Genomic DNA, 25,358 nt, shown 5'->3' on the forward strand with positions numbered 1-25,358 from the left:
GTTGCTTTTCAGTTTGACGGTACTTTTACGACAGCAACTTTGAAAGGTGATAACAGGGTATGCAGGGATAGAGGGGGGTGTCTTTTTGAACACCCACGACAGATCTGCATTAGGAAAGTCAAGTGGAGAGTTGAAGTAATTACCTAGGATAATTAGGCTCAATTTTCCAATTCACTTTAAGCTGAAATCGACACTTACTCGGGCAACCTATAACCAACTCTTGCTTTCTTTCTCTCCTTTTAACCTGTCTATGAAAACAAAGCAAATCGCCCAAATGGTTTGATGAGTGTGGACAGCTAATCCAGACAATTCCCACCTCCGCAAATCTGTTTTTCCCACGGGAGGCCAGGTGGGGGATGGAAGCGATTGCGTTGCCTCTCTAAATTACCCCCACTGTAGACGCGGTTTGTGGAACTAATTTTGAGCTGCCAGAATATAAGAACCTTCTCACCCCCTATTCTGGCCGCTAAAAACACAACACAACCTAACAAAGTTTACAGAAAACCCAGGGCCACCTTCCACTCTCGCCTGGAAAGTCCTCTGCAGGAGCCCTGTTTCCAAACCCTCACAAACTCGGTTTTTCTTAAGATCAGTCTTCCAGGAGAATATATTTGCACACGCGCCAAGTTTAGCTTTCCGGGGAATTCTGCAAGGACGCCGAATGCAGAAAATTACCCCCTGATTAAATAAAGCCTATTAAGCTCCAGGCACCGCTCTGTTGTCTTTCGTGTTCGGGCGGCGGCAGACCTGCGCATCCCTCTCCTCCTTCAGCCTCTGTCCCGCGGTGACCCGCTCCTCCAAATTCCACGCAGGATAGCGCCGGACAGTCTGCAGTAAGCCGTTAAGCCGGAGGTCAGTAGACTAAAGATGGTTCGAAACCTGGGTACCTGGCGTTGGACTTGAACAGGGGTGAACAGCTTCACAGATAGAGACGTTAAAAACAGAGCCCCAAGGGCAGCGCGCGGTTTCTAGCCCCAGGACCCTTAGGTCGGTCTAGGAATTCCCAGCGAGCCCAGGGTTGCGGGAACGCGCCCTGGGCAGGTTCTGCACGGGCGCCGGGCACATTCCGGGGCGTCCTGGGCTTCGGATCCTCCAGCCTCTGCAGCTCGGGCAAAGGTTCTGTCTTCCCTGGCTGGAGCTGCAGTATGAACTTGTTACAACCCCGCTCCTTAAGAAGAAAAGCTTGCTGTGGAGGGCAGTTTCGCTCCTGGGGAGCCCCGGAGCTGTTGCCCTCGGCCTGGGAACTTCTAGAAAAGCACCAGAGCCCGGGTCTGGGCCTTTTCGCCCCCCAAAGGGGAGCTATGCATAACAAGGTCTCAGACTCCCACACCACGCAGCTCTCTAAAGGTGCTTTAGGGCTGAAGTGCCTCGCCGCGTTTTTTTTCTTTTTTCTTTCCTCTATAAATTAAGTAACCCTCGAATGACGGCGCGCAGGACGCCCGGCTCTGGCAAATCTGGGTTCTTTTCTGGAACACGCTAGAGACGTCCTCGTCGTGGGGTTAGTATTGAACTTGGAGTCAGAGAGCCAATGTGGTTCAGTGTGGATCAAGCCCGCCACTTACTATAAAAGATCATATCATCTCTCTGCACCGCCTTTTTCTCGTCTGTGAAATGGGCCTTGGACTCTTCCCCCTACACCCCAGGATTTGGGGGAAGTGTCGACAAGCCCCCGCGCGGGAGGGCACCCAGGGAATACCGGGTGCATCTGACTTTTCTTGGCTTACTGCGCGCCCGCAGCACTGAAGTTTTTTTCCGCGCGTTCGTGATAGGGAAATGGCAGGGCAGGATCGGGTGTCTCCCCCGGCCCCGGCTCCAGGACCTCCTGGCTCCTTGGAGTTTGGCAATTTAGGGTAGAGGCAAATTTAGAGCAACATAATTGCGGTAATGAGCAACGGCTCACCCTCTGCAGACGCGTCGCGGCTCCAGCGAGGCGGTAGCTGCAGGCGAGGCGGGCGCGCCTCCCCGCCCCCTCCCTGCGCCGCAGCCCGGGTGCGAGGGCCCGGCCTCCCTGGGACCCCGGCCCGCGCGCGCCTCCGCCTCTGGCTGCTGGCCTTGGCTAGGGGCTTCCTTCCACTTCTGGGCCTCCGAATCTCCCCATTTTTGTTTCTGTCCGTCTAGCCCATTCTTTGCCCCCCTTTTGTTTCCGCATTCCCTCTCTGAACAGGGTGTGCACACAGAAGGTGCTCGATAATTGTTTGCTAGATCGGAGCGGCACGCTGGTGTGGGGAGAACACCCAGAGCCACAGTCAGCCGGGTCCGGCCGGAAATCGCGGCTGCGCTTCCGGCACTGCTTCTCGTCCATCCCAGTCCTTCGAACTGTGTTCCCTGGTTTATCAACCGAGGGCGGAGTGGGCAGGGGTTTCCTGGGTCTGTTCCTTTACGGACCAATTTCCTTCTCTGGCAAGAAACATGGGATCTACCAGGCGGAGAGGTCGGCCACCTTCCGCGCTGGGAGGTAGTGATGGAGCAGTCTGCACTCACAGCCTACTGTGTGCCGGGAGTTCCCGCTCACGCTGACTCCCAACACACCTAGGAGATTTTTATAGCGCAAAGGACTGCAGCTCAGAGAGGTGACATGGTTTTCCCAAGGTTACACAGTTAATGAAGGACATAGCAGGAATTCCAACACGGATTCCACTCGAGGATCCGGTTTTTCCCGCATTGCCCATCTCCATCTGGTTGAGGGTCACCTGGTGCCTGAGCAGCTCTCCTGCGAAGTGCGCGTCGCGCTGGAAAACGGAGCGCAGAATCCGGGAACTAGTTCTGAATTTAACTCCTTGCGCTCTAACCACGAACAGGCACTGTCCCTTGAGGAATGATAGGGGCGTCTCACCGGCCCTGCACGCTGTGAAAGCGTTTTCGTTTTGTTGGGGAGGAGACGGAAGCCTCATTTTGCAAATTCAGCTTCTGACCACGCAGTCAAGACCAAAGCAGTCCGTGGCGTGGAAGCGGGGCAGAAATGAGGTTACCTGGCGGCAAGGGACCTGGGGCGCCTCGAGCTTTGAGCATAGGTCCGCAGGGCCGGGGCGGTTGGGGACCGGGAGGCTGGGGTGGGGCTGAAGACCTCGCGCTAAGAGCGCCTTACTTTAAGGTTAGTTTCTCGGATCGCTGAACCCGGGGCTGAAGGACCAGATTGAGCAGGAGGCCCAGTGAGGACAGTTACTGGTGAGGCAGGGGCCCCGAGTGCGAATCCTACCGCTGCGCCCTCCTTAGTGACCCAAGGCCGGGAGGTGAGCCCAGCCGGGTCCAGGCCTGCGCCCCGCCTAGAGCCCTCGGGGGCGCAATAGGAAGCGGCGAGGAGAGGCCGCGGCCGCCTTTCAACTCTGCGGCTGGCGCCGGCCTGGCCGGGCCCCCGAGGCCGCGCGGCCTCCAAGGTTCCGTCCCGCCCTCCCAGACGCTCAGCTCGCATCGCCCCACAGTGGAACAGTCCCCCGGCCCCGACGCCGGACTCCCTGGGAAGCCCCCGACCCCCAAGTGCCACCACCAAGTGCCCACTCTCCAGAGCACTCCCAGGCCCCCACTCCAGACTTGCGGAATTTGTTCCGCTCCACTCAACAGCTCCCACGCCTGCCGCGCACTCCGCCCCCTTCCCAGGCCCAGGGGGACCCTGCCTCCACCCCGCCTGCCTCCCCCACAGCGCCCTCCCGCGGCCCTCAGCTCACAGCCAGCTCTCCCAGCGCCTGCTCACTGTAGTTCCGGTGCTGGACGCTGGCCTTGGCTCCCTGCGTTACAAGTAGATCCTCAAGTGCGCACACGCACACGACCAACACACGTCATCCACACGACATACCAACACACACCGAAACAGACACACATGACACTCACATGCAACACACATGTATAACCCATATGCAGACACCAACACACGCGGTACACACAAACGAATCAACACACATCACCCACCACACATACCCAGCACATACACACAAGGCTGACAAACACAAACACAACGCATAAATCAACACGTATCACCAACACACCCAGCCACGCACAACTAATACATGCTAGACACAAAACCAACACACACCCAACACCCACAATCAACTCTCACATCCCACACCCACAAGCCCTAGTTATAGAGGCAACCATACACACTCAAGGCCACTCTCTAACATCTTCCACAGGGGTTCTGGTGACACAGACACATATAATATTGGGAGAAAGGGGGAGGGAGACCCCAGAGATAGACATAGATGGGAGAGAGAAACCAAGGAGGTGCTGTATTGAGAGGCGTTCAGACTCAGGGACTCCAGGGAGGAGGAGCAAAGCCACGCGAGACCTGAGCGGCAGAAGCTCAATACAGCAAGCCAGAAGCTCAGCTCAGAGCACAAGGCGTGAGAGCGCTGGGTGCTCTGCTGTGCTGACACCAGAGGGTAAGCGCGGATTCTGGCTCCACGCACGTGGGGTCAATCCCCGGACACAGACCTTTTACTGGAAGGCCTGGAGAATCGCCTGAGGGAACGCTGGGAGTTCCCCCCCCCACCCGCCCCCGCGCAAGAACAGCCAGTGACTTCAGCTCTCCTTTCTCCCCCTGGGTCCCCTCCTCTGGGACCCCCTTCGGCCCCACCTCGTCCTGTACACCCACCTTCTCCCATCTAGGCAGAGGGTTTCAGAATGCCTTGATCAGACCCAACACCCTACTCATTCTCCACGGACCAAAGCCAGAGATCAGGAATGCCCATCCCACCTCCCCTGGACAGAGAAGGCGGTACTTCAAGAAGCAGTCGCAGACCCTGGTTAGGGCGGGTGTCGAGTCGCCGACCTGGAGTCAGATCATCTACTTATAAATTTTGGTTTTGGTACTTACTGTGTGACTTCGGGCAAGTTCCTTAACTTCACTGAGCCTCACTTTTTCCATATAAAGTGTGGAATCGTCACAATTGCTTCTATTGTTAAGGGAATAAAATGAAACGCTCTGTGAGATGCTTGGCCCCGACAGCAATTAACATTGATTATGAATTCTGCACTTAGACACTTAGATCAATTTCAAAGGCGGGAGGGTTATGTCTGTACCTCCCTGGAAACTCCCAAAGAGTAAGGCCGGCCATTGACTCAGACATGGGGCTCGAATCTAGGTTTCCCCCTCAGGATGAATCTCTGCCCCTAATGCCAGGCTCGCAGGGGCTAGCGCACCAGCGGGGTGCAATAAAGATCGGCCTTTGTGTGTGTGTGGTGGGGGGGAGGAGTGGGGGGTAGGTAGTTAAAAGCGAATTCAAAAGCCCGCCCTCAATTTGGGGCCTGATTAGGGGCAGATGGAAGGAAGGGTCCCCGACCCTACGTGGCAGCCTTTGTTGCACATTTTACAGGCGAGGAGACAGTGGTGGGATCCAAGCCCGCTGCTGTGGGACCTCAGGAGTTGCTTTCTCCTTCACCAGCTGGGTGCAGATTTTGATGATGCACAGGGCGCGGCCTGACAGTGCGTGTGTGCGCCCACCGGGCGCTGCTGCCAGAGTTTGCGGGGTTCAGGGAGCGGGAGGAGGGTCTGAGAGACCCCAAAGCCTCCCCTTTGCGAGACCACTCCTTGCTTCCCCCGCCTGGCGCTTTCCATAACCCTCTGCGGCGCCCTGCCTCTTTGTTGCCCCTTAGATGAGCTGCCCCAAGGGCGGGCTGGACTCTAGTGCTTTGAGTCGCTGTTTCTCTGACGATGCTGCTTTTAAAAAGAAAACCCCGTTCCCTCTCTGATGACTCTCGTGGCACCCGGGTGGCAGCAGGGGCTTCTCCACCGGAGAAACAGCCACATCGACTAAAAGGGAATGTGTGAGGCAGGCTGAGACCTTGGGTGGGGCCCCCCACCTCTCGAGTTTTCCAAGACTCAGGTTCCATCTCTGTTAAATGGACACAATCCTGACCCCTGGCAGGTCCTGAAAGAGTAGAAGGGAAGGGGTTCTCCACGGGCTGTACCATCACTTGCGTCCCCAGTTCGGTGATGGTGGTGAGGTCATCACAGTTGTTCCGCCTGCGGTGACTGCAGCTGACATGTATGCGCGCTTGCCTATGGATCACAACCCTTAGAATCTAAGTTTTCCACGCGGGTTATCCCAACGAATCCTCACTACCAGGTGGGCACGTGCCATTGTGACCCGTGTCATAGACTGAAGCATAGAGAGTTGAATGACTCAGACAAGATCACACAGCTAGTGAGAGTGAAACAGAGCTTCCAACTCAGACAGCCGGTGCCACCATCTGGCGCCCCTAAATCTCAGTTCCCTGGTCCGCGGAATGGGAACACTTTCGGGCTGGTGCAGAGGAAACTATGGGTGACTCCAAAGGCAGCGCGCGGTAAGAACTCCGGGTGAGAAGGGGAGCGCGCGAGGAGAGCGCCAAGCGTAGCGCGGAGCATAGAGGCAGGATGGTGACCTGAGCGCTCTTTGCTGGCCGGCTCTGCTCTCCGCAGCGCCATTGGAATTCCTTACTCTCCAGTCCCCCGAGGGTGTGTGTGGGTGAGGGGAGGTCCCTGAGGCGGAAGGGATGAGCGGAGTGGAAGCGGAGGAGAGTGTTCTTGCTCTTGGAAAGTGTCAGAAAGTGCCTGTGCGCCACTCTGGACCCGGAATTAAGACACCTTCACCTCTTTTAATCTTCTCCCTATGACGCAGGCACTCTTATTAATCTGTTTCAAGTGAGAAAACCGAGGCACAGAGAGCGTATGTGACTTGCCAAATGTCACATAGGTGTCTAAGACCCGGCCTGTATTTCCCACCAACCTCTGCCGCTGCTTCTGGCATGAATGCAGAAAGCAGCCAACAGCCGACCGGCAACTGGGAAGCAAGCGCCCAGGCCAGAGCCGGTTCCTATACTTGGCAGAATTCCCCTTTGGCCATGGTCAAAGTTGACCAAGTTTGCCTCACTCTAGATGCTGGCTGAATCCCTAAACCCACACTGGACTGGGAGAAACTGCTCTGAGCGTTACCTGAGTGATGCTCCATTGTCACCAATGGGCCAACATCTTTCTTTACGGATGACATACTGAGGCTCAAAGGGGGTTCGTGATTTGGCCGAGATCCGGCAGAAAGGCTGGACAGACCCGGCATCCCCAATTTTAGTCCAGCTTCCTTAAATTAATTCATTCGGCGGGGTTGAACAAGACCAGCACACTAAGAAATAACGAATTCGGGTAGAGCTGAATGCTTCTAAGGGGAAAAGTAACAAGACGGGGGCAGGAAGCACAGTCGGAGCCTATTTTTGGCGGAGCGGTCAAGGCAGGCCTCTCGGCGGAGGCGACTTAAGGGTTGAGACTTGAAGGGTGAGGTGGAGCCGTAGTTTGAAGAAGGAATCTCCCATTGAGAGGGGTCGGCAAATGCAAAAGCCCCAAGGAGAGCTGAGGCCGGCGCGGCTGGAACCGGCCTTAGGCGAGTTTGGAGTAGGCTTAGCGTTTTGTGATGCTCTGGCGGCCACTTGGAGGAGAAAGATGGGGGCGAGGTAGAAGGGGCCGCGTGCCCTTGTAGGAGAGGGAAGTGTCAATGGCCGGGACCAGGGGTGGCTGCCTGAGACGTGCCTCGTCTTTGGTGATTCCCCTACCCCCAAATCAGAGAGGGTTCCGGAAGAAACTTCGCAGCCTTGCAGAGTGAAGCATCGCCGGGACCCAAGGATGTTTCTCTTCCCTACGGAGCTCACCCGGATTCCTTGGCGCCCAGCTGCGGCCCCGGAGTCCCCGAACTCGGCTGTGCCAGCCCGGGGCGGGGCCAGCTGAACCTCAGTTGTGGGGCGGAGTCCGTTGCGGACACCCTCACCCCCCGGGCAACCGCAGCTCCCAACTCCGCTGGCTTTCCCCTCCCTCTGACACCCTGCGCGGCTCCTGCGACCCAGGTGCGTGCCAGCTGTAGGAGCCTGCTCCGCCTGCCCTCCTGGAACGCAGTCATCCTCCAGGCCCTGCCCGCGCCCATTTCGCGGCCCAGGAAACTGAGGTGTGGAAGCCTGTGAAGGGAGGGACTGCTACCTATCGATTCGTACCGGATCCAGACCCTGTGCTAAACGCTCGGCGTGCATGGTGCCCCTTAATCCTCACAAAAGTCGAGCGACTTAGGGAGGAATATTATCCCATTGCACACACGAGCACACTGCTGCGCAGAGGCACGAAGGTACCTGCCCAGGGTCTCAGCTAGTCCCATTTCCAACCCAGGAAGGCAAGGGAGCAACCCGGGAAGCAAAATGTAAGGAGACACTTTCAGGGTTGTGCAAGTGTGGGGTGGGCACCCGGGGAGAAGGGAGGAGGGATGAACTATCCAGAGAGGAAGGCACGCCCGGCCCCGACTTATCGGAATAATTGTCTCCATTCCGCTTCGGCGGTGTCTGTTGTGTCCATTGAACAGAAGCAGAACGTGAGTCCGTATCTGCCCCTCGCCACCGCCACCAGCACCTGGGATTTGACTCACACTTCAATTCCTGCCCTAGGAATTGATGCCAGCGCCCAGTATGGCCCCGCGTGGGGAATCGAGCGCCCCATCCCTCGGTGAGGGCTTACTCTGAGCCTGAGTCTGTGGCAGGCCCCCCCATAGCTACTGTCTGCCTTAATCCACGCCAAGGCCTCTAAAGGAAAACATTGCCTTGGTTCTTTTTCACAGACGTGTCAACTGTGGACCAGAGATGTCAAGCCACGTGCCCAAGGTCACCAAGCAGTTTCTGGGTGAGCCCTCAGGGAATCCTAAATCCCGACCCAAACCCGGGATTTCCCCTCGCCCTCGGGGCCTCCAAGGGGAGCTGCGAGAGGCGGGGACGCAAGGAGGCGCTGGGACCAGTTTGCTCTGAGTGCTCCTGCTCCGGACTGCTCCTTGGAGAGGCGGGGCCTTGGGCAGCAGAATCCCAAGCTCCTCCCGGTGGGAAATCCGGCAGCTCCCGTCTGAGGGTAGGGCCAGCAGACCACCTGGCCCAGTAAACTCCACCGGCTTCGGGGGTGGGGAGTTGGGGCAGGTGCGCCCCAGGGGCTCGGTATACAAAGCCATGCCTGAGCCACGTCCTTAATTTCCAGGAGGAGAGCCCTGGATTTCCTGACAGCCGGGCTGGGGGAGGCAGGGGAAGCAGGCGGAGACCCCTAAGAGTACTTCTTCCTGCCCCTCCATTTCTTCCCTAAGTTTATTCTTCCTTTATTGTCTGTCTTTTCCCTCATTTTATTTTAATACAATGACTATAATTTCTTATATTAAAAGGTGTGGCGTGGGCAGTGGTTCCCGGGACTCTGGCTCATTCAGCCACTCCTCCACATGCAGGGTCAGGGTGAGGTGCTGAGGCCCCTGCTGTGCTGGGAAAGGGTCCCTGCCCCGCAGCAGCGCAGGATCTGAGTGGAAACTGGTGGCACTAAGAAGGAACGGAAAAATAACACTACCAAGCCAGGCAGTACATAAAACAGAGCGGCGAGATAGCGATCGGGGTGGGGGTTTTCCCGAAGAGGGAACATGGGGGACATTTGAATGGAATAAAGGAAGTCCAGGCCACGGGACCAGCAAATGCAAGGTTCCCCAAGTCAACGAGTGGGCAACATTGTGAGGCTGTGACCAGTCTTCAACCTTCAGATGACCCTGGCATGATTTGCCTCGCTGAAGGGACTCTGTGCTGTTCATGTGAATTCACAGACCTTGTCTCCTCTGGCCTTCATCATCTAGCAGGCAGCAGGGACGGGTTCTCACTGTGCCCATTTTCTAGATAAGTGAAGTGAGGCTCTGTGACCTGTCCGTGAGTGAGGAGGTCAATCTGGGATGAGAAAGCAGGCCTTGGTCATTCCAGGACACCCAGCTGACTCCAGGCAAACAGGTTTAGGAGAGCGCTGAGGTCTATGGCTGCATCTCACCAGCACCTTCATTCCAGGAGGAACAGGGCGGTGGTTTGGATGAGCCGCAAGAAATGTTCCAGAGCATGGCGCACACAGAACACATCACCCTCTTGCTGAGAGAGAGGCCCCTGGAGGAGATCAGGAACTGTTGGTTTCTGCGGGATCATGAGCTGTTGGTTTCGGAAGGGCGTTGATCTCAGGGGGTCTTTCTTTTTCCTGTATATGGTCTGCCCTACCTGGGTGGGGTTCCAAAGATGTTTGGGTCCTCGTTCCTTCTGGGAGAAAGCACCTGCCTCTGGGGTCCATTCACAGTCAGGTGGGACCAGCGTGCACCTGGCCAGGCTCACCGGGATTGTGTGGGGTCTCTGAAGTCATTTACCTGAATGAACCCCTGACCACTGCTTGGGGAGTGGAAGGGCCCAGTCTGATTTCATTCCCGCATGCTGGCTTCATGGGCGTGGGGCCTGCACTCAGAAGGGTGCCACGCTTGGGGTGTAGTGCTGCAGTCACTATCTTGGAGTTCTTAGTGATTTTTATCTTTGAATTTATGCATTATAAGTGATGTTTGATGGGACAATGGAGTGTGTTCTGGGCACTTAGACCTGCCTCAAATGCCTCCCTGGGACAATTCTTGGCTGCTTGCTTTCCACTCCCTGGGAAGCCACCCCCTGCCCAGCCTCCAGCTCCCTGTCCCCAGTGTGACTGCTGCTGCCTTCCACCTGGCAGGGGCCTGGGTGCCAGTGTGAGGAGAGTCAGGGCTCAATGTTCATACCCCTGGCATCACCAGGTGAGGCATGGTGGGCACTGACCGTTCTTGCCCTGGGCTGGCAGTGACATATGTTTCATTGGCAACGTGGGTAAGGGTGAACCTTTCACCCAGCCCTGATCCAGGTACCGAGCATATCCTAGCACTGAAATTGCAATGCCTTTGGAGGTTACCCATCTGCCATGGTTTGGGGCAGTGGCCTGAGGGAAGAGGAGGTAGATGCTTGACTTGACTTCTTCACCCTGGGTCAAATTTGTCAGCTGGTGGAGAGCCCTGTGCTCCCATGCCAAGTCACTGTTTGGGGCCCCTAGGTGCCTGCAACAGTCTGCACTCCCTTGCGAATATCCCTGAGAATGCATGAGTGAGTGTGGCGTTAAATAGGAAATTTAAAAACAACAACAACAAAAATCATGACAGGTCAAGAGCAAGACCACAAAGAAAGGAAAAAGCTTTACATGAGAATACTTTTAGCAATGCTTCCCCCCACTACTTTAAAACAGAAGACCTGCATTTTCCTATTGTAGTGGACCCTACTGATTATGTAGCTGAATCCTGCCCCCACGTACTGGGTGTCTTGAACTGGTCAGCAGGGCTGAGCCACGAGAGGTCTGGGTACAGGCAAGAGCAACCTCTCAGCCAATAAACATGTCTTCATAAAATAGGATGCCTCCCTTCCTCTGGGACCCTAGCTTTACAAGGAGACACACTTGGCAGCATGCCAGCAGGAAATGCTGCCTGGTCAGGGCTGACATACCTGCAGCAGGGACTCTGGAAGTCCCAGGCTCGGAATCAGAGAGCTGGCAGGGCATGAAAACAGCCATGGGTACATGTCTTGAGGGGCCACCGGAGGACTCTGAGGTTAAGAGGAGTTGGTGACAGCATTACACAAGGAGGTGGAGCTGAGTGGGATAGGGCACTCACGTGGTCTGGTCCAATTTCAGCCTCTTGCTTCACAAATCTACCCAGAGAAGGGACGGCACCCCAACCCCAGTTCCTTCTGAAGTCATCGAGGGAGGAAAGCATCTTCTAGCTGGAAGCGATTCTCAAATCCCCCAACTTGAAGAATCCAAGCGCCTCTTTATTTGCACCTTTTCCAAGATCACATGGGGTCCTCTGTAGCTCCCGGCGTTACTTCTCTTACTCCTAGCACTCATCATCCCTAGACGTCATCTATTGTTTCCTGTCTCTTTTAGCCCCACTGGAATGTGCAGGGGCTTCCCAGTTTCACTCATTGCTGTGACCCTGTGAGTCCTTAGGGCTGGTACATGGGGCAGCCCAGCAATGTTTGTTGAGTGAATAAGTGAAACCAATCTCTGCTCTGATGCTTTCTTGTACGTTTCCGGGTATGGGGCACTCACCACCTTGGGGAAACAGTTAATTTTTCTGTCTATCTATCCACCTATTCAGTTAGCATTTATCTTACCCATAATGAGCACCAACCACTTATTGAGCACCAACTATGTACCCAGGACCTGGGCTAGTGCTGGGGACACACTGGCAAAGAGGGACAAAAGCAAGGTCTCTGCCCTTATGGAGGCTGGAGCTTAGGTGAGACAGATATTAACTAAAGATTATGAAAATACACTTCAAATGTTCGTCTTCGTAAGTGACACTGTGCTGGGAGAAAACTCAACATATATTATATTATTTAATAATCACCTTGGACATGAGGTCACCACAGTACATGAAGACATTCTTACCCCTGTTTTATGAGAAGGAACACCAAGGCCAGAGAGGAGGAAACTGAAGTTCAGAGAAGGCAGGTCACACAGAGGGAGCTGAGCTGCAGAAGCTTCTTTTTTTATTACAAATTTTTATTTTACTTTAAGTTCCGGGATACATGTGCAGAACGTGCAGGTTTGTTACCTAGGTATATGTGTGCCACGGTGGTTTGCTGCATTTATCAGCCCATCGCCTAGGTGTTAAGCCTCACATACATTAGTTATTTGTCCTGGTACTTTCCCTTCCCGGGCTGCCCCCCTGCCATCGAATCTTCTTGATGACTTATTTTATTTTTTGAGACGGAGTCTCGCTCTGTCACCCAGGCTAGAGTTCAGTGGCGCCATCTCTGTTCACTGCAACCTCTGCCTCCCGGGTTCAAGTGATTCTCTTGCCTCAGCCTCCCCAGTAGCTGGGATTACCGGCGCCCACCACCACGCCCATCTAATTTTTTTTTTTTTTTTTTTTTTGCATTTTTAGTAGAGACAGGATTTCTCCACGTTGGCCAGGCTGGTCTCGAACTCCTGACCTCAAGTGATCCTCCCGCCTCGGCCTCCTAAAGTGCTGGAATTACAGGCATGAGCCATCATGCCCAGCCAATGACTCATTTTGTAGATGGGGAAACAGAGGCTCAGAAAGCTTAGAGAACTTTTCTGAGGTCACACAGCTATTGAATATAACAGCCATAGTCTGAACCTTGTCTGGTTGACTTTGAGGCCTGGCTCTATACTATCCCTTGTCCTCCTAAGTCTTTTCTTTTGCTAAATGTTCCCCTTCCTCCAGTGTCCCTTACCCTGGCCCGCAAGTCCCTACAGGATGTAGCTCCCCTGCCTCTTGTGACTTCAATGACTGATGCCATTGAGTGATTCTGGCTGTCTCTCCAGCACAGTGCACACATCCCTGCCGCAGGGCCTTTGAACTTGCTGTTCCCTCTTCCTGGAACGCTGTGCCCTGGTTATTTGTGTGATTCTTTCTGTCCCTTTTTTACCTGGCTCAAGTACCTGCTCGGTGGCTCAGAGAAGCCTTTCCTGACCCCTTGCCTAAAATTGTGCTGTTGTGAGTCTTTACGATCCCTCCTCACCTTGCTTTGTTTTTCTCCATTTAAACCACTCCATGGCAGCAGAGGTCATGCTTACACGTTTGTTTATTCTTTATCTGTCCCTCACTAGGCTCTGGGCTCCGTGAGGGCAGTGGCTTCATCTGTGTAATTCCCTGATCTTCCCAGCACCAGGAACAGCGCCCAGCACGCAGTAGGACTTTGATATTTGTTAAGTGAATGAAGGATTTTTTTTTTTTTTTTTTGAGACAGAATCTTGCTCTGTCACCCAAGCTAGAGTGCAGTGGCGTGATCCCGGCTCACTGCAACCTGTGCCTCCCGGATAGGGTTCAAGCAATTCTCCTGCTTCAGCTTCCCAAGTAGCTGGGATCACAAGCACATGACACCGGGCCCAGCTAATTTTTTTATTTTTTAGTAGAGACGAGATTTCACCATGTTGTTCAGGCTGGTCTCGAACTCCTGGCCTACGTCAAGTAGGTCTGCCTGCCTCAGCCTCCCAAAGTGTTGGGATTACAGGTGTGAGCCACTGCTCCTGGCCTGAAGGATTTCTGTCCTTGTTCTGCACAATAGGAGCCTGAGGCTTGGAGGAGCCTCAGGATGGCAAACTGGGCCCTGCTGAGCTCTGAGCCCAGCTCTAGGGCCTGTCCTTCCTGCCATCAATACTCGGAGGAGGCCCCACGGAACCCAGGGAGGCCCAGGAGGCATGGAGGTGGGTGCCGAGAAGTCAGCAGCCTCACCCTTGACAGCTGGCCATGGCAGTCAAGTCCCTGGAACCTGGATTTGGGGGAAAATGATAAAGGTGAAAAAGTTGGCCCTCATTTCCATGTAGGCCTGCCAGCTCCACGAATATCTTGCTACTTACCTGTCCCGACCAGACACAGGACACTTCAAGATTCCAAGAGATGGACCGGCTCAGGGTGATGGGGCTTCCGGGGCTGGTGCTGAAGGGAAGTGCCAATCTCTGAGGACTTCCATAAGCCAGAATGTTTATTTTCTAGTTCAATCCCCACAGTGATCCAAGAAGTTGGAATCAATACCACCTCCCCTTGGCTCTGAGATGGTGTGTGAGGACCCACAATTCCCCTTCTTTTCCTTCCATTTGGGAAACTTCTCTCAATTTTCCTAAAGGTTTACGTTTTATGGTGTGAGAGGAAGTATGAACACAGGAACTGGCTGAGTCTGGGGGCTCAGGAGCCAGGAAGCTTGAGTTCAAATCCTGGCCCCTCACTCCCTGGCTGTGTGACCTTTGGTGGATTTCTGAACCCCGTTAAGTGATCACGATCAGTTTTTTCATCTGGATGATGGGCTGTAATAACTCCTGCCTCTTAGGATTGTTCTGAGGATCAAATGAGTTGATGCACGTGATGTGCTTAGAACAGTGCCAGGGACTTAGTGAGGCTGAGATAAGCTGTCTCTCGTGGGATTCAGAAGCCGGAAGCCCTGAGGGTTCTTTCCTGTCCTCCCACCCTACAGAGCCAGGGTAGGAGCAGAAAAGAGGAGGCAAGGAAACACTGGAAGAAAAGATATACAGATAGTACCCTCACCTGCTCCCTCACCTTGTAAACCTCGTCACAAACCAGTGAGCTTGACAAGGCAGGGGTGTGATTCCCTTTAGCCAGATGAGGAAGCCACAGCCCGGAAAGATGGAAGGATTTGTCCAAGATTGCACGTGAGGGATAGGCCAGAATCGGAATCAGACATTTGGATTCCGGGGCCAGTGCTATATTCTGGTCACATTTGCACATGGCACCGCTTTTCCTTGGATCTGCCTTCTGAATGGCAATGGACTGATCATGACTCAGATGAGCTAGAACCTGAAGACACGATAGGGAGTTGGACCCTGTTTTACTGCTAATCCTAGGTCAGAGCACAGCCACTGAACTCCAAGGCTTTTCTAGAAGCTTTCAGCAGGCACTATCAGTCTGTAATAGCCGTGAGATATGTATGGACAAGGAGTTCCAAGAAATCCTCAAAATGTAGGTGGACGGATGAAATTCCACTTGGACACAATTGTGGTAAAAGTCATTTAAGTAATTAGCGTCTGAGTACTTTTCTGTATATGTGGATGGGGGAAAGGAAGAGTAATTTCTGTTTGCTAAGTAACTAGCAGGTTCTCCAAGTCTGTTCCTTAATCAATTAATTAATTTTTTTTGAGACACGGTCTTGCCCTGTCGCCCAGTCTGGAGTGTGGTAGCACAATCATGGCTCACTGCAGCCTGGACTTCCCAGGCTCAGGTGATTCTCCCATCTCAGCCTCCCGAGTAGCTGAGACTACAGGCACGTGCCACCACACCTGGCTAATTGTTGTATTTTTATGTAGAGACAAGGCTTCATCATGTTACCCAGGCTGATCTTGAACTCCTGGGCTCAAGCAATCCCTCCGCCTTGGCCTCCCAAAGTGCTGGGATTACAGGCATGAGCCACTGCACCCAGCCTTGTTCCTTAATTTACTACTCACATCAATAGCTAGGGAAATGAATGTCTGGTTCCAGTTTTTCAGGGAATCCTGCAGCCCAGTGAGAATGAGTCAGTTGCTCAGGATCACACAGTTAATAAACCAGTATCTGGAATTCAAATTAAGTTCTGTGTGTCTCTAAAGCACATGCCGTTTCAATCCACTCACGCTGAGGGACCTACGCTTGCATAAGTGCCTTTTTAACACATAAATAAGCTCTAAAGGCAGTGTGGAAAGTGGTTGCAAAAATATAAATCAAATAATATGCTTAGAGGAAGAACAAAGAATGTTAACTGAAAAAAATAGCAAACAATGAACAAACTCTGAACCCTCTCTTGGTGTTGATGACTTTCACTGGAGATCATAAGGAAATAGAAACTCTTAAAACCAGTCATCGGACTTGTTAATAATGGGCTCGTAGGAGAATGCTAATGAAATGTGATGAGTTTTTTTCTTGTTAAAATCTCATTTCAAATAACTCCGTTCGTCATCCATTTTTTACAAGGAACGAAAACAAATGTTTTCCAAAGCTTCAAACCAAAATCTCTGTGTGGGTTTCTTGTTTTGAGCCAAATATTCTGTGTCTTTTCCCAGCTGGGAATTCCCTCCCCATCTTTGTTGGTCCAAGTCCTATGTGTCCTGTGGGTCCAACTCCTCCCTCCACCGTCCTCTGACAGAGAGTCAAAGTCCTGGGTTCAAATCCAGTATCCACCCCCCCTTTTTTTAATTAAAATTTATTTTTTGTTTTAATATAAACAGTTTTTAAATATATTTCCCCTGTAAAGGGATACATATGTTTATAAAGCCTGTTTCCACTTCTCCCTAGAGGTTATTTTTAAAAGTTGTTTGTAAAATTAATTTTGATTTTTTTAATTAAAGAAGTCATATATCATTTTAAAGGTCAAATGGTTTTCAACAGCATATAATGAAAAAGAGCAGCGCCACCCTGTGCCTGCCCAGACCAAATATTTTCCCCAGATGGAGCATTTTCAACCTTTAGTTATTTCTTCTGGCATTTTCTTACCTCTTTCTAAATCACCTCTCTGCACTGATAATCCTTGATTTTTTAGTATTAAATATTATTGATGGACTTTCTGTTACGAAGATGAAGATTAGCTCTTATGCTGCTTTCCCAAGTACCCTCTCACCATTCTCATAAGGGTATCATTTTTTGTTAGATCAATATTCTGTGGTTACTATTATGACCACATAAATAGTGTCCGTAGTTATGCCACATAATATGCTTTAATTACATTTCCTGTCTTGTATAACCTTTCTTTCTGGAAGTTGATAATTGCCTTTATGCTTTCTTTAGTTACCTATGTGCTTGTCATTAATTTCACCTCTTCACTCTCTCAGAAATGGAGAACTATTCTGAGCAAATTTACACACGCCAGGTAACATCCCCATTCCCTTTCTCCTCTCGGAGACACTTCTCTTGGAGAACGTTGCCCTCCTACCACTGGTTGTCCTGGAAGCCATCAAACAGCTGTCAACCCTGGACTTCCCTGCTCCGTCATCTGAGAAGTCCCCTTTGCCCATTTCCTGAGTTGGAGCCCTGATTTCCTGGGTTTCAGGCCTTCCTTTTGCTTCATTGATTTCCTTTCTTGGAGCATCTCCTTCAGTAGCTTCCTGAGAGAAGCTGCATGGAAGGTAACATTTTCAAAGTTTTGCATGTCTGAGATTGTCTTTATTCTCCTCTTACATTTCAGTGATAGTTTGCTTGGATGTAGCATTGTACCTCCTCCAACCGTGGAACCATTTCTCTGTGATCTTGTTTCCAGCTATTGATAGTCTGATGTCATTCTAATTCTTATTTTCTTTCCCTGTGGGGTTTTGGATTCTTTTCCTTATCTCTGTTGCTTGGGAATTTCATCATCCTGTGCCTTGGTGTGGTTTTATTTTGTTGTTTGTGCTGGGCCCAAGTGAATCCTTTCAATCTGGAAACCTGTGGCCTTCAGTTGCAAGAAAGTACAGGTTAAGCATCCCTAATCTTAAAATCTGAAATCGGAAATGCTCCAAGATCTGAAATGTCTTGAGAGTGGACATGATGTCACAAGTGGAAAATTCCACATCTGATCTCATGTGACATGTCACAGTCAAAATACTGGTGCACAACACATCGTTTATTTCATATCCCCAAAGGAAAAAAAGGCCTTCTCAGCCCGCTTCAGCAGTGATGTATCTTTTCCACGCACATCCAGGTTCCCTCTGCCCCTCAAGCACTCACACAGAGAATAAAATAGCACTTTCACAGGCTGAGGCACCAGTAACACATTCCCCACTATGCCCCACATGAAGCCAAGATCTACCTGCATTACTCACTTGGTTCTTTTTCTTATTCTCTGCTGTGTGGTGTAAAGTTATTGATTAAGGCCAGGAGCGGTGGCTCACACCTGTAATCCCAGCACTTTGGGAGGCTGAGGCGGGTGGATCACCTGAGGTCAGGAGGCCGAGACCAGCCTGGCCAACATGGTGGAATCTCATCTCTATTAAAAATACAAAAATTAGCTGAGTGTGGTTGCGGGCACCAGTAATCCCAGCTACTCTGGAGGCTGAGGCAGGAGAATTGCTTGAGCCTGTGAGGCGGAGGTTGCAGTGAGCCGAGATAGTGCCACTGCACTCCAGCCTGGGCAACAAGAGTGAGACTCCATCTGAAAAATAAATAAATTAATTACATTAAATAAAAATAAATAAATAAATAAAGTTATTGATTAAAATTTTAAAGGCCTGCTGATACTCCCATGGGCTAAAAAAAAAAAAAAAAAAAAGAAGTGATAAGAAAAAAAGGAAGCATTTGTGTTTATCTATAACATGGAAAGTCAAGCTGTTGGAGAAGCCGGACAGTGCTGCAGATGTAAAACATCAGATGGAAGAGCTCAGTGTTGGAATGACCATGGCACATGACCTGAAGAAACAGAAGGATGAACTGTCAAAGTACTATGCCGCAAGAAACGAACAGAAGTTAATGAAACTAGAAAAAAACTGCGTAAAGCTAAAAATGAAGATCTCAGCTGTGTACTGAGAGTGACCCCGTCAGTGTTGTATGATGGTACCCTGATCATTAAATAAGCAAGGATCAGTCAAGCTGAACAAAAAATTGAAGGAAACTGTGAATATTCAACAGGCTGGATGCAGAAATTTAAGAAAAGACAACATTAAGCTGAGCTCAGTGGCTCATGCCTGTAATCCTAACACTTTGAGAAGCTGAGGAGAAAGTGTTGCTTGAGCTCAGGAGTGTGAGTCAGCCTGGGCAACATAGTGAGACCTCGTCTATACAAAACATGTTTTTCTAAGATTTTTTATTTCCACTGTATTTTTATTTCACATCATCCCAGATTCTTTTTATCTCCTTAAAACACTGACTTACAAGATAATTTAAATATTTTTGTTAAAGCAGTTACGGTCAATGCCCCACTGTGTCTGCAATGAAAAAATACATATCCTGAATATTTGGGGATGAGATTTCTGTTTTGATTTTACTCCAGAAAAACCAATTACTATACAAAACTTTTTAAAAATTAGCCAGGTATGGTATGTGCCTATAGTCCTAGCTACTTAGGAGGCTGAGGTGGAAGGAAGGCTTGAGCCCAGCAGGTTGAAGCTGCAGTCAACCATGATTGCACCACTACAATCCAGGCCAGGTGAGAGAGTGAGACCCTGCCTGTCTCAAAGAAGAAAAGAAAAAATACCAAAATTAGCTGGGCGTAGTGGCTCTCACCTGTCGTCCTAGCTACTCAGGTGGCTGAGGCAGGAGAATCACTTAAACCTGAGAGGCGGAGGTTGCAGTGAGCCCAGATCACGCCACTGCACTTCAGCCTGGAGACAGAGCGTGACTCCTTCTGGAAAAAAACAAAAACAAACAAACAAACAAAAAAAAAAAGGAAAGAAAATAAAAGAAAATTAAAGACAGCATTAAATTCTTAAAGATTTGTGGTGATAAAACATTTGCTGATCAAGAAGCAGTGAGGAAATTCATTAATGAGTTTGCCAAGTTCATCACTGATAAAACTCTACAGACACAAGAGCAACTCTACGACACTGATGAAACATCACTGTTTTGCTGAGCTTGCCCCAGAAAGACACTGACTACAGCTGATGAGACAGCCCCTGTGGGAATGAAGGATGTCAGGGGCAGAACGACGGTGCTGGGATGTGCTAATGCAGCAGGCACGCATAAGTTTGAGCTTGCTGTGATGGGCAAACACTTGCACCCTCACTGTTTTCATGGAGTAAATTTCTTACCAGTCTAATTGTTATACTAACAAAAATGCATGCAGTACCAATTCTGATTGATTTCACAAACATTTTGTTTTTTAAAAACTCGATTTAATTTAGTTTAAAAAAATAGAGACAGGGTCTCATTATGTTGCTCAGGCTCGTCTTGAACTCCTGGGTTCAAGCAATCCTCCTGCCTCAACCTCCCAAAATGTTGAGATTACAGGTGTGAGCCACTGTGCCCGGCCTATTTCACAAACATTTTGTACCAGTGACTTGTGCTCAGGGAAGCTGAGCTAGATATGACTGCAAGATTTTCTTATTCCTTTTATTTTATTTTATTTTAATTTTTTAGAGACAAGGTGTCTCTCTGTCACCCGTGCTGAAGTGCAGTGGTGTTATCCTAGCTCACTGCAGTCTTGAACTCCTAGACTCAAGTGATCCTTCCACCTCAGCTTCTCAAGTAGCTAGGGCTACAGCTAATTTTTAAGTTTTTTGTAAAGACAAGATCTCATTATGTTGCCCAGGCTGATCTCAAACTCCTGGGCTCAAGCACTTCTCCCGCCTTGGCCTTCCAAAGTGCTGGAATTACAGGCATGAGGCACAAAACCTGGCCAGGTTTTGTTATTCCTTGACAACAGTTCTGCTCATCTTTCAGCTGAGATTCTCATAAAAAATGCTTATGCCATGTACTTTCCCCAAATGTGACTTCATTAATTCAGTCATGTGACCAGGTTATCCTTAGATCAATGAAGAGTAAATATAAAAACCCTCTCTTGAACAGCGCGCTAGCAGCAGTGAACAGTGGTGTGCGTGTGGGAGATTTTCAAGAGGAGTTGAGCGCAAAGGAGGCTGTAAACACTGTTGCCAATGCTGAGAACACAGTGACTAAAGACACAGCTGTGCATGCCTGGCACAACCTCTGGCCTGTGACTGTATTCAGTGATGATAATAAACAAGCTGGTGACTTTCAAGGATTCCATAAGTCAAGTGAGAAAAAAAAATCATGTCTGACCTTATATGTGCAAAATATAGACCTTCAGACTTTATCAGTAAGCTGGAAAAAGTGAATATAGAAGTTTTTAACATTGAGAATGGGCTCCAATTGTTAATTTATTGACTGATGGCAAAATAGCTGAAATGTTTCTGAATCAAGGTGATGGTGATAATAGTGATGATAAAGATGATGTTAGCACTGCAGAAAGAGTGTCTACACATGACATGATGAAAATGCAGGATGGGCTTATTGAAGGGCTAGAGTGCTGCACATTCACAACAGAACAAAAAAATCATGTCCTTTGATAAAATCAAAGAGAGACTCTCAGAAAAAAAACCTTATTAAGGAGGCAGAGGACTCTGCAGGAAATGTTTAAAAAGCCATCTCGCGGAATGCCTCCTCATTCTGCCTGGAGGACTCACTTTCTTGTTCCTCAACTGCTTCTCATGTTTTTCTTCGCCCAAAACAAACCAAAGCAAAAAAAACAACAAAAAACAGTTACTAGGCCAGGCACTGTGGCTCACGCCTGTAATCCCAGCACTTTGGGAGGCCAAGATGGGTGGATCACCTGAGATCAGGAGTTTGAGACCAGCCTGGCCAACATGGTGAAACCCCATCTCTATCCCAGCTACTAGGGAGGCTGAGGCAGGAGAATCGCTTGAACCTGGGAGTCGGAGGTTGCAGCGAGCCGAGATCACGCCATTACACTCCAGCCTGGGTGACAGAGCAAGACTGTCTCAAAACAAACAAACAAACAGACAAAACCAGTTATTAGTAACCTTTTAATCAGGCAACGCGTTGCTAGTGAAGTCGAACGCCGCCTTTGCTGGCTGCTGCTGGTTAGCGGTGATGCAGGAGTTCTCGTGATGCTGCCGCATGGGTGCCCTGAACACATGATTTTTCACTGTATTAATGGCATATCTTTTTTTTTTTTTACTGTTAAAGTACTCATGTGAATAAGTGTAAGAAAATGGTTATTTATTGGTAGAATATAAATTCAGAGTCAGGAATGTTGGTGATGCCAACCAACCACAGATTGTCCACATTGGTGGCTGAGATAATTACACTGTTGCTTTCTTTCTTTGTTTATTTCTTTGTTTATTTATTTATTTGAGATGGAATCTTGCTCTGTCGCCCAGGCTGGAGTGCAGTGGCACGATCTCAGCTCACTGCAACCTCTGCCTCCCGGGTTCAAGCGATTCTTCTGCCTCAGCCTCCCGAGTAGCTGGAATAATAGGTGTGCACCACACCAGGCTAATTTTTGTATTTTTAGTAGAGACAGGGTTTTGCCATGTTGGCCAGGCTGGTCTTGAATTCTTGACCTCAGGTGATCTTCCCTCCTCGGCCTCCCAAAGTGCTGGGACCACAGGTGAGCCACTGTGCCCATTCCCTGCACCTTTGCTTTCTGATGTTTTAGTGTACACAAACTTTGTTTTCAGCCCAAGATTATTAAAATTATTGCATAAAATTACCTGCAAGCTATGTGTATGAGGTTTATATAAAACATAAATGAATTTATTGTTTAGACTTGGGTCCCACCCCCAAGATATCTCATTATATGTATGTAAATATTCCAAAATCTGATAAAAAGTCTAATATGGTTTAGCTCTGTGTCCCCACTCAAATCTCATCTTGAATTGTAATCCCTACATGTTGAGGGAGGGATGTGGTGGGAGGTGATGGGGTCATGGGGGCTGTTTCCTTCACGCTGTTCTCATGATAGCGAGTGAGTTCTCACGAGATCTGATGGTTTTATAAGTGGTAGTTTCCCCTGTTCCTTTCCTCTTCTGCCACCATGTAAGACATGCCTTGCTTTTCCTTCGGCTTCTGCTGTGATTGTAAGTTTCCTGAGGCTTCCCCAGCCATATGGAACTGTGAGTCAAACCTCTTTCCTTCATGAATTACCCAGTCTCAGGTATTCTTTATAGCACTGTGAAAATGGACTAATACAAATCCTAAATGCAGAGCACTCCTTGTTTCAAGCATTTCAGATAAGGGATACTCAACCTGTACCCTTAATTGCTAATCATTTCTCTTCCCAGAATTCCTATTACTTCCTATTGTTTGGATGTTTTGCTGATTAGATCAATCCTTTAATTTTAAAAAATCTTTTAAAATCTCTCCTATGTTCCATTCTGAAGATTTTCTGCATTTTATCATTCATTCATTTCCTTGATGGTTTCATTTCTGCTGTCATATTCGTAGTGTTTAAGAGCTCTTCCATATTCTCTGAATGTCACCTTTATTATAGCATCCTGTTCTTGTTTCACAGATGCAATATTTATCTCTCCGAGGCTTGGAATTACAGATTTTTAAAAAAATAAGTTTATTCTGCTTGCTGCATTTTCTCTCTTTTCTCTGAGTTCCTTCTCTCTCTCTCCCTTTCTGCTTTCATCTTCCTCTTTTATATCAAGAGATGCTTCCCAAATGACTGGTGACATTTGCCCAAAAACATGAAATAAGAGCTCTGTGGGCATAATCTGGGTTTGTGGGCAAGTCAGGCAATGAAGCAGCGATCCGTCATTTCACTGGTGCTGCCGAAATGGCAGTTTGTGTAGGTCTTTCCCCTTATGCCAGTGGGTTTCCCTAGAGGGGGATCCTTCAGTTTCTTCCCAGGGGAGGGCAGCAAGGGCACAGCCTGGCTGCCAGGTTTCTGGGAGCCAAGTTGAGAAAGGTGCCCAGATATCTCACCATTGTGAGTGCAGAATTCCTCCACATGTTCTGGGATTAGCCAGGTGTCAGGACACCTCCTTCAGATGTGTTGGTGTTCCTGAAGCCAAAGCCTGTTTGGGGCAATTCCTCCAGAGAGGAAACCAGAGAGGTGGCTCATGAGGACGGGTGGTACTCATCTCGCTGCCTGTGATGAGGACCTTCCCACCAGGCCTGTGTGCTCCCCATTCATTTCCTGCCCCTGGACCTCTCATTCCTGGGCTATTATTCCTGGATCTAGCCATAAGTGGCTTACTTGTGGTCACTCCCCTCAAAGGCTGGGATGGAACTGTGAGAGAATACATTTACCATGTTAAAAGACACCCAGCTTGTGGTTAATTGGTCACAGCAGCCTCAGGGAACTAATGATGCATTTGGGAAAAGTTTTCACAACAAAGGTATGAGTGTAGAACATCTCAGGATTCTCCCACACATGACCAACTGGATACCTGCTGAACTATGACCTGGTTTCTAAAGATCCAGGGCAGCAATCTCAGGCTGATGTTTCTTTCCAGCTTAGGCTTGGTTAATTTATTGCAGGCTCTGCAGTTTTCAATGCAGGGTGTATGTGGAAACCACCTGGTTTCCATCCCAGAAGCTACCTGGTCTCCATCCCAGGGCATTTTAAAAGAGGTTCTGTATGTGCTTCAGGTTACACGGTCCTGGTGAAGAGTCACGGCTCTGAAACCAGCATTGGCCCCCAACATAGAGGATAGAGGAGAGCAGACCCAGAGGGAGTCTCCTGGCCTGTTCTTGAACTAGGGAGACCTCTGGGAGTGTCAGGGAGGAGTAGTGCTTTGGGACCCAACCTTGTGATTGAGAAACAGAGGCCCAGAAAAAGCAAATGACTTGCTAAACTCATGAAGCTGGCAAGTGATGAAGCTGGAATTTGAACCAAGCTAGAAGTTAGGTCTCTTGACTCCAACCTCTGGTTTTCGTTTCCTTTGGGCATGTATCTCTGAGACTGGAAAATGTAACCTAATGGATCTATTCATGGTCTGGGGCCATGTGGCCAAATCCCACGTAGGTCCCCTCCCACAGAGCCCCAAGGTAAAGAATAAGGCAGAATAAAATGAACTAACTTTAATCAAAAGGAAATGCTCCTTGTGCCTCCTCTATGCCTGGCCGACACTGGGTGCCGGGACTAGGGAGTGAGGTGGTCCTTGCTGTCAAGGATGGAGGGAAGGAACTCCCTAACAGCAGCCTGTGCTGAGCCCATGACACGTGCACCAGACACAGACTCAGGGCCACTCAACTAGCAGCAGGTGTCGCCACTGAACAGGTAGGAAAGCCAAGGCTCAAAGGGTAACAGATCCTAGCAAGGGTCACCCAGGTTTAAGGTGGGGTTATGGGTCAAGTGCCTGTCCATATTCATATGCTGAAATCCACAACATTATAAAAATCCCAGTTCCCAGGTCAAGAGATGCCTACATAGCCCACCAACAAGCTCAAATTCATGTGCTGAAATCTAACCCCCTATGTGACAGCATTTGGAGGTGAGGCCTTTGGGAGGTGATGAGGTGTTGAGGGCTGAGCCCTCATGATGGAATTCGTGCCTTATGAGAAGGGACCAGAGAGCCAGTGTCCCCTCTTTCCACCATGTGAGGATCCAAGGAGAAGTCAGGATTCTGCAACCCAGAAGGGGGCCCTCGCCAGACCTTGGCCATGCTGGAGCCT

General features: G+C 49.9%; 3 annotated features.

The window, feature by feature from the left end:
- Positions 499–1,416: an enhancer, noted in NCBI's record as "H3K4me1 hESC enhancer chr4:4866226-4867143 (GRCh37/hg19 assembly coordinates)". NCBI's record gives its function as "activates a minimal SCP1, AML or CMV promoter by ChIP-STARR-seq in primed H9 embryonic stem cells {active_cell/tissue: H9 hESC(primed)}" and the evidence as "EXISTENCE:reporter gene assay evidence [ECO:0000049][PMID:30033119]".
- Positions 7,100–7,675: an enhancer, noted in NCBI's record as "H3K27ac-H3K4me1 hESC enhancer chr4:4872827-4873402 (GRCh37/hg19 assembly coordinates)". NCBI's record gives its function as "activates a minimal SCP1, AML or CMV promoter by ChIP-STARR-seq in naive H9 embryonic stem cells {active_cell/tissue: H9 hESC(naive)}" and the evidence as "EXISTENCE:reporter gene assay evidence [ECO:0000049][PMID:30033119]".
- Positions 24,742–25,036: a silencer, noted in NCBI's record as "tiled region #11527; HepG2 Repressive DNase matched - State 13:Ctcf". NCBI's record gives its function as "represses a minimal TATA promoter and a strong SV40 promoter by Sharpr-MPRA in HepG2 cells {active_cell/tissue: HepG2}" and the evidence as "EXISTENCE:reporter gene assay evidence [ECO:0000049][PMID:27701403]".

The sequence above is a fragment of the Homo sapiens genome, chromosome 4 (assembly GCF_000001405.40).
Source record: "Homo sapiens chromosome 4, GRCh38.p14 Primary Assembly".
NCBI lineage: Eukaryota > Metazoa > Chordata > Mammalia > Primates > Hominidae > Homo > Homo sapiens.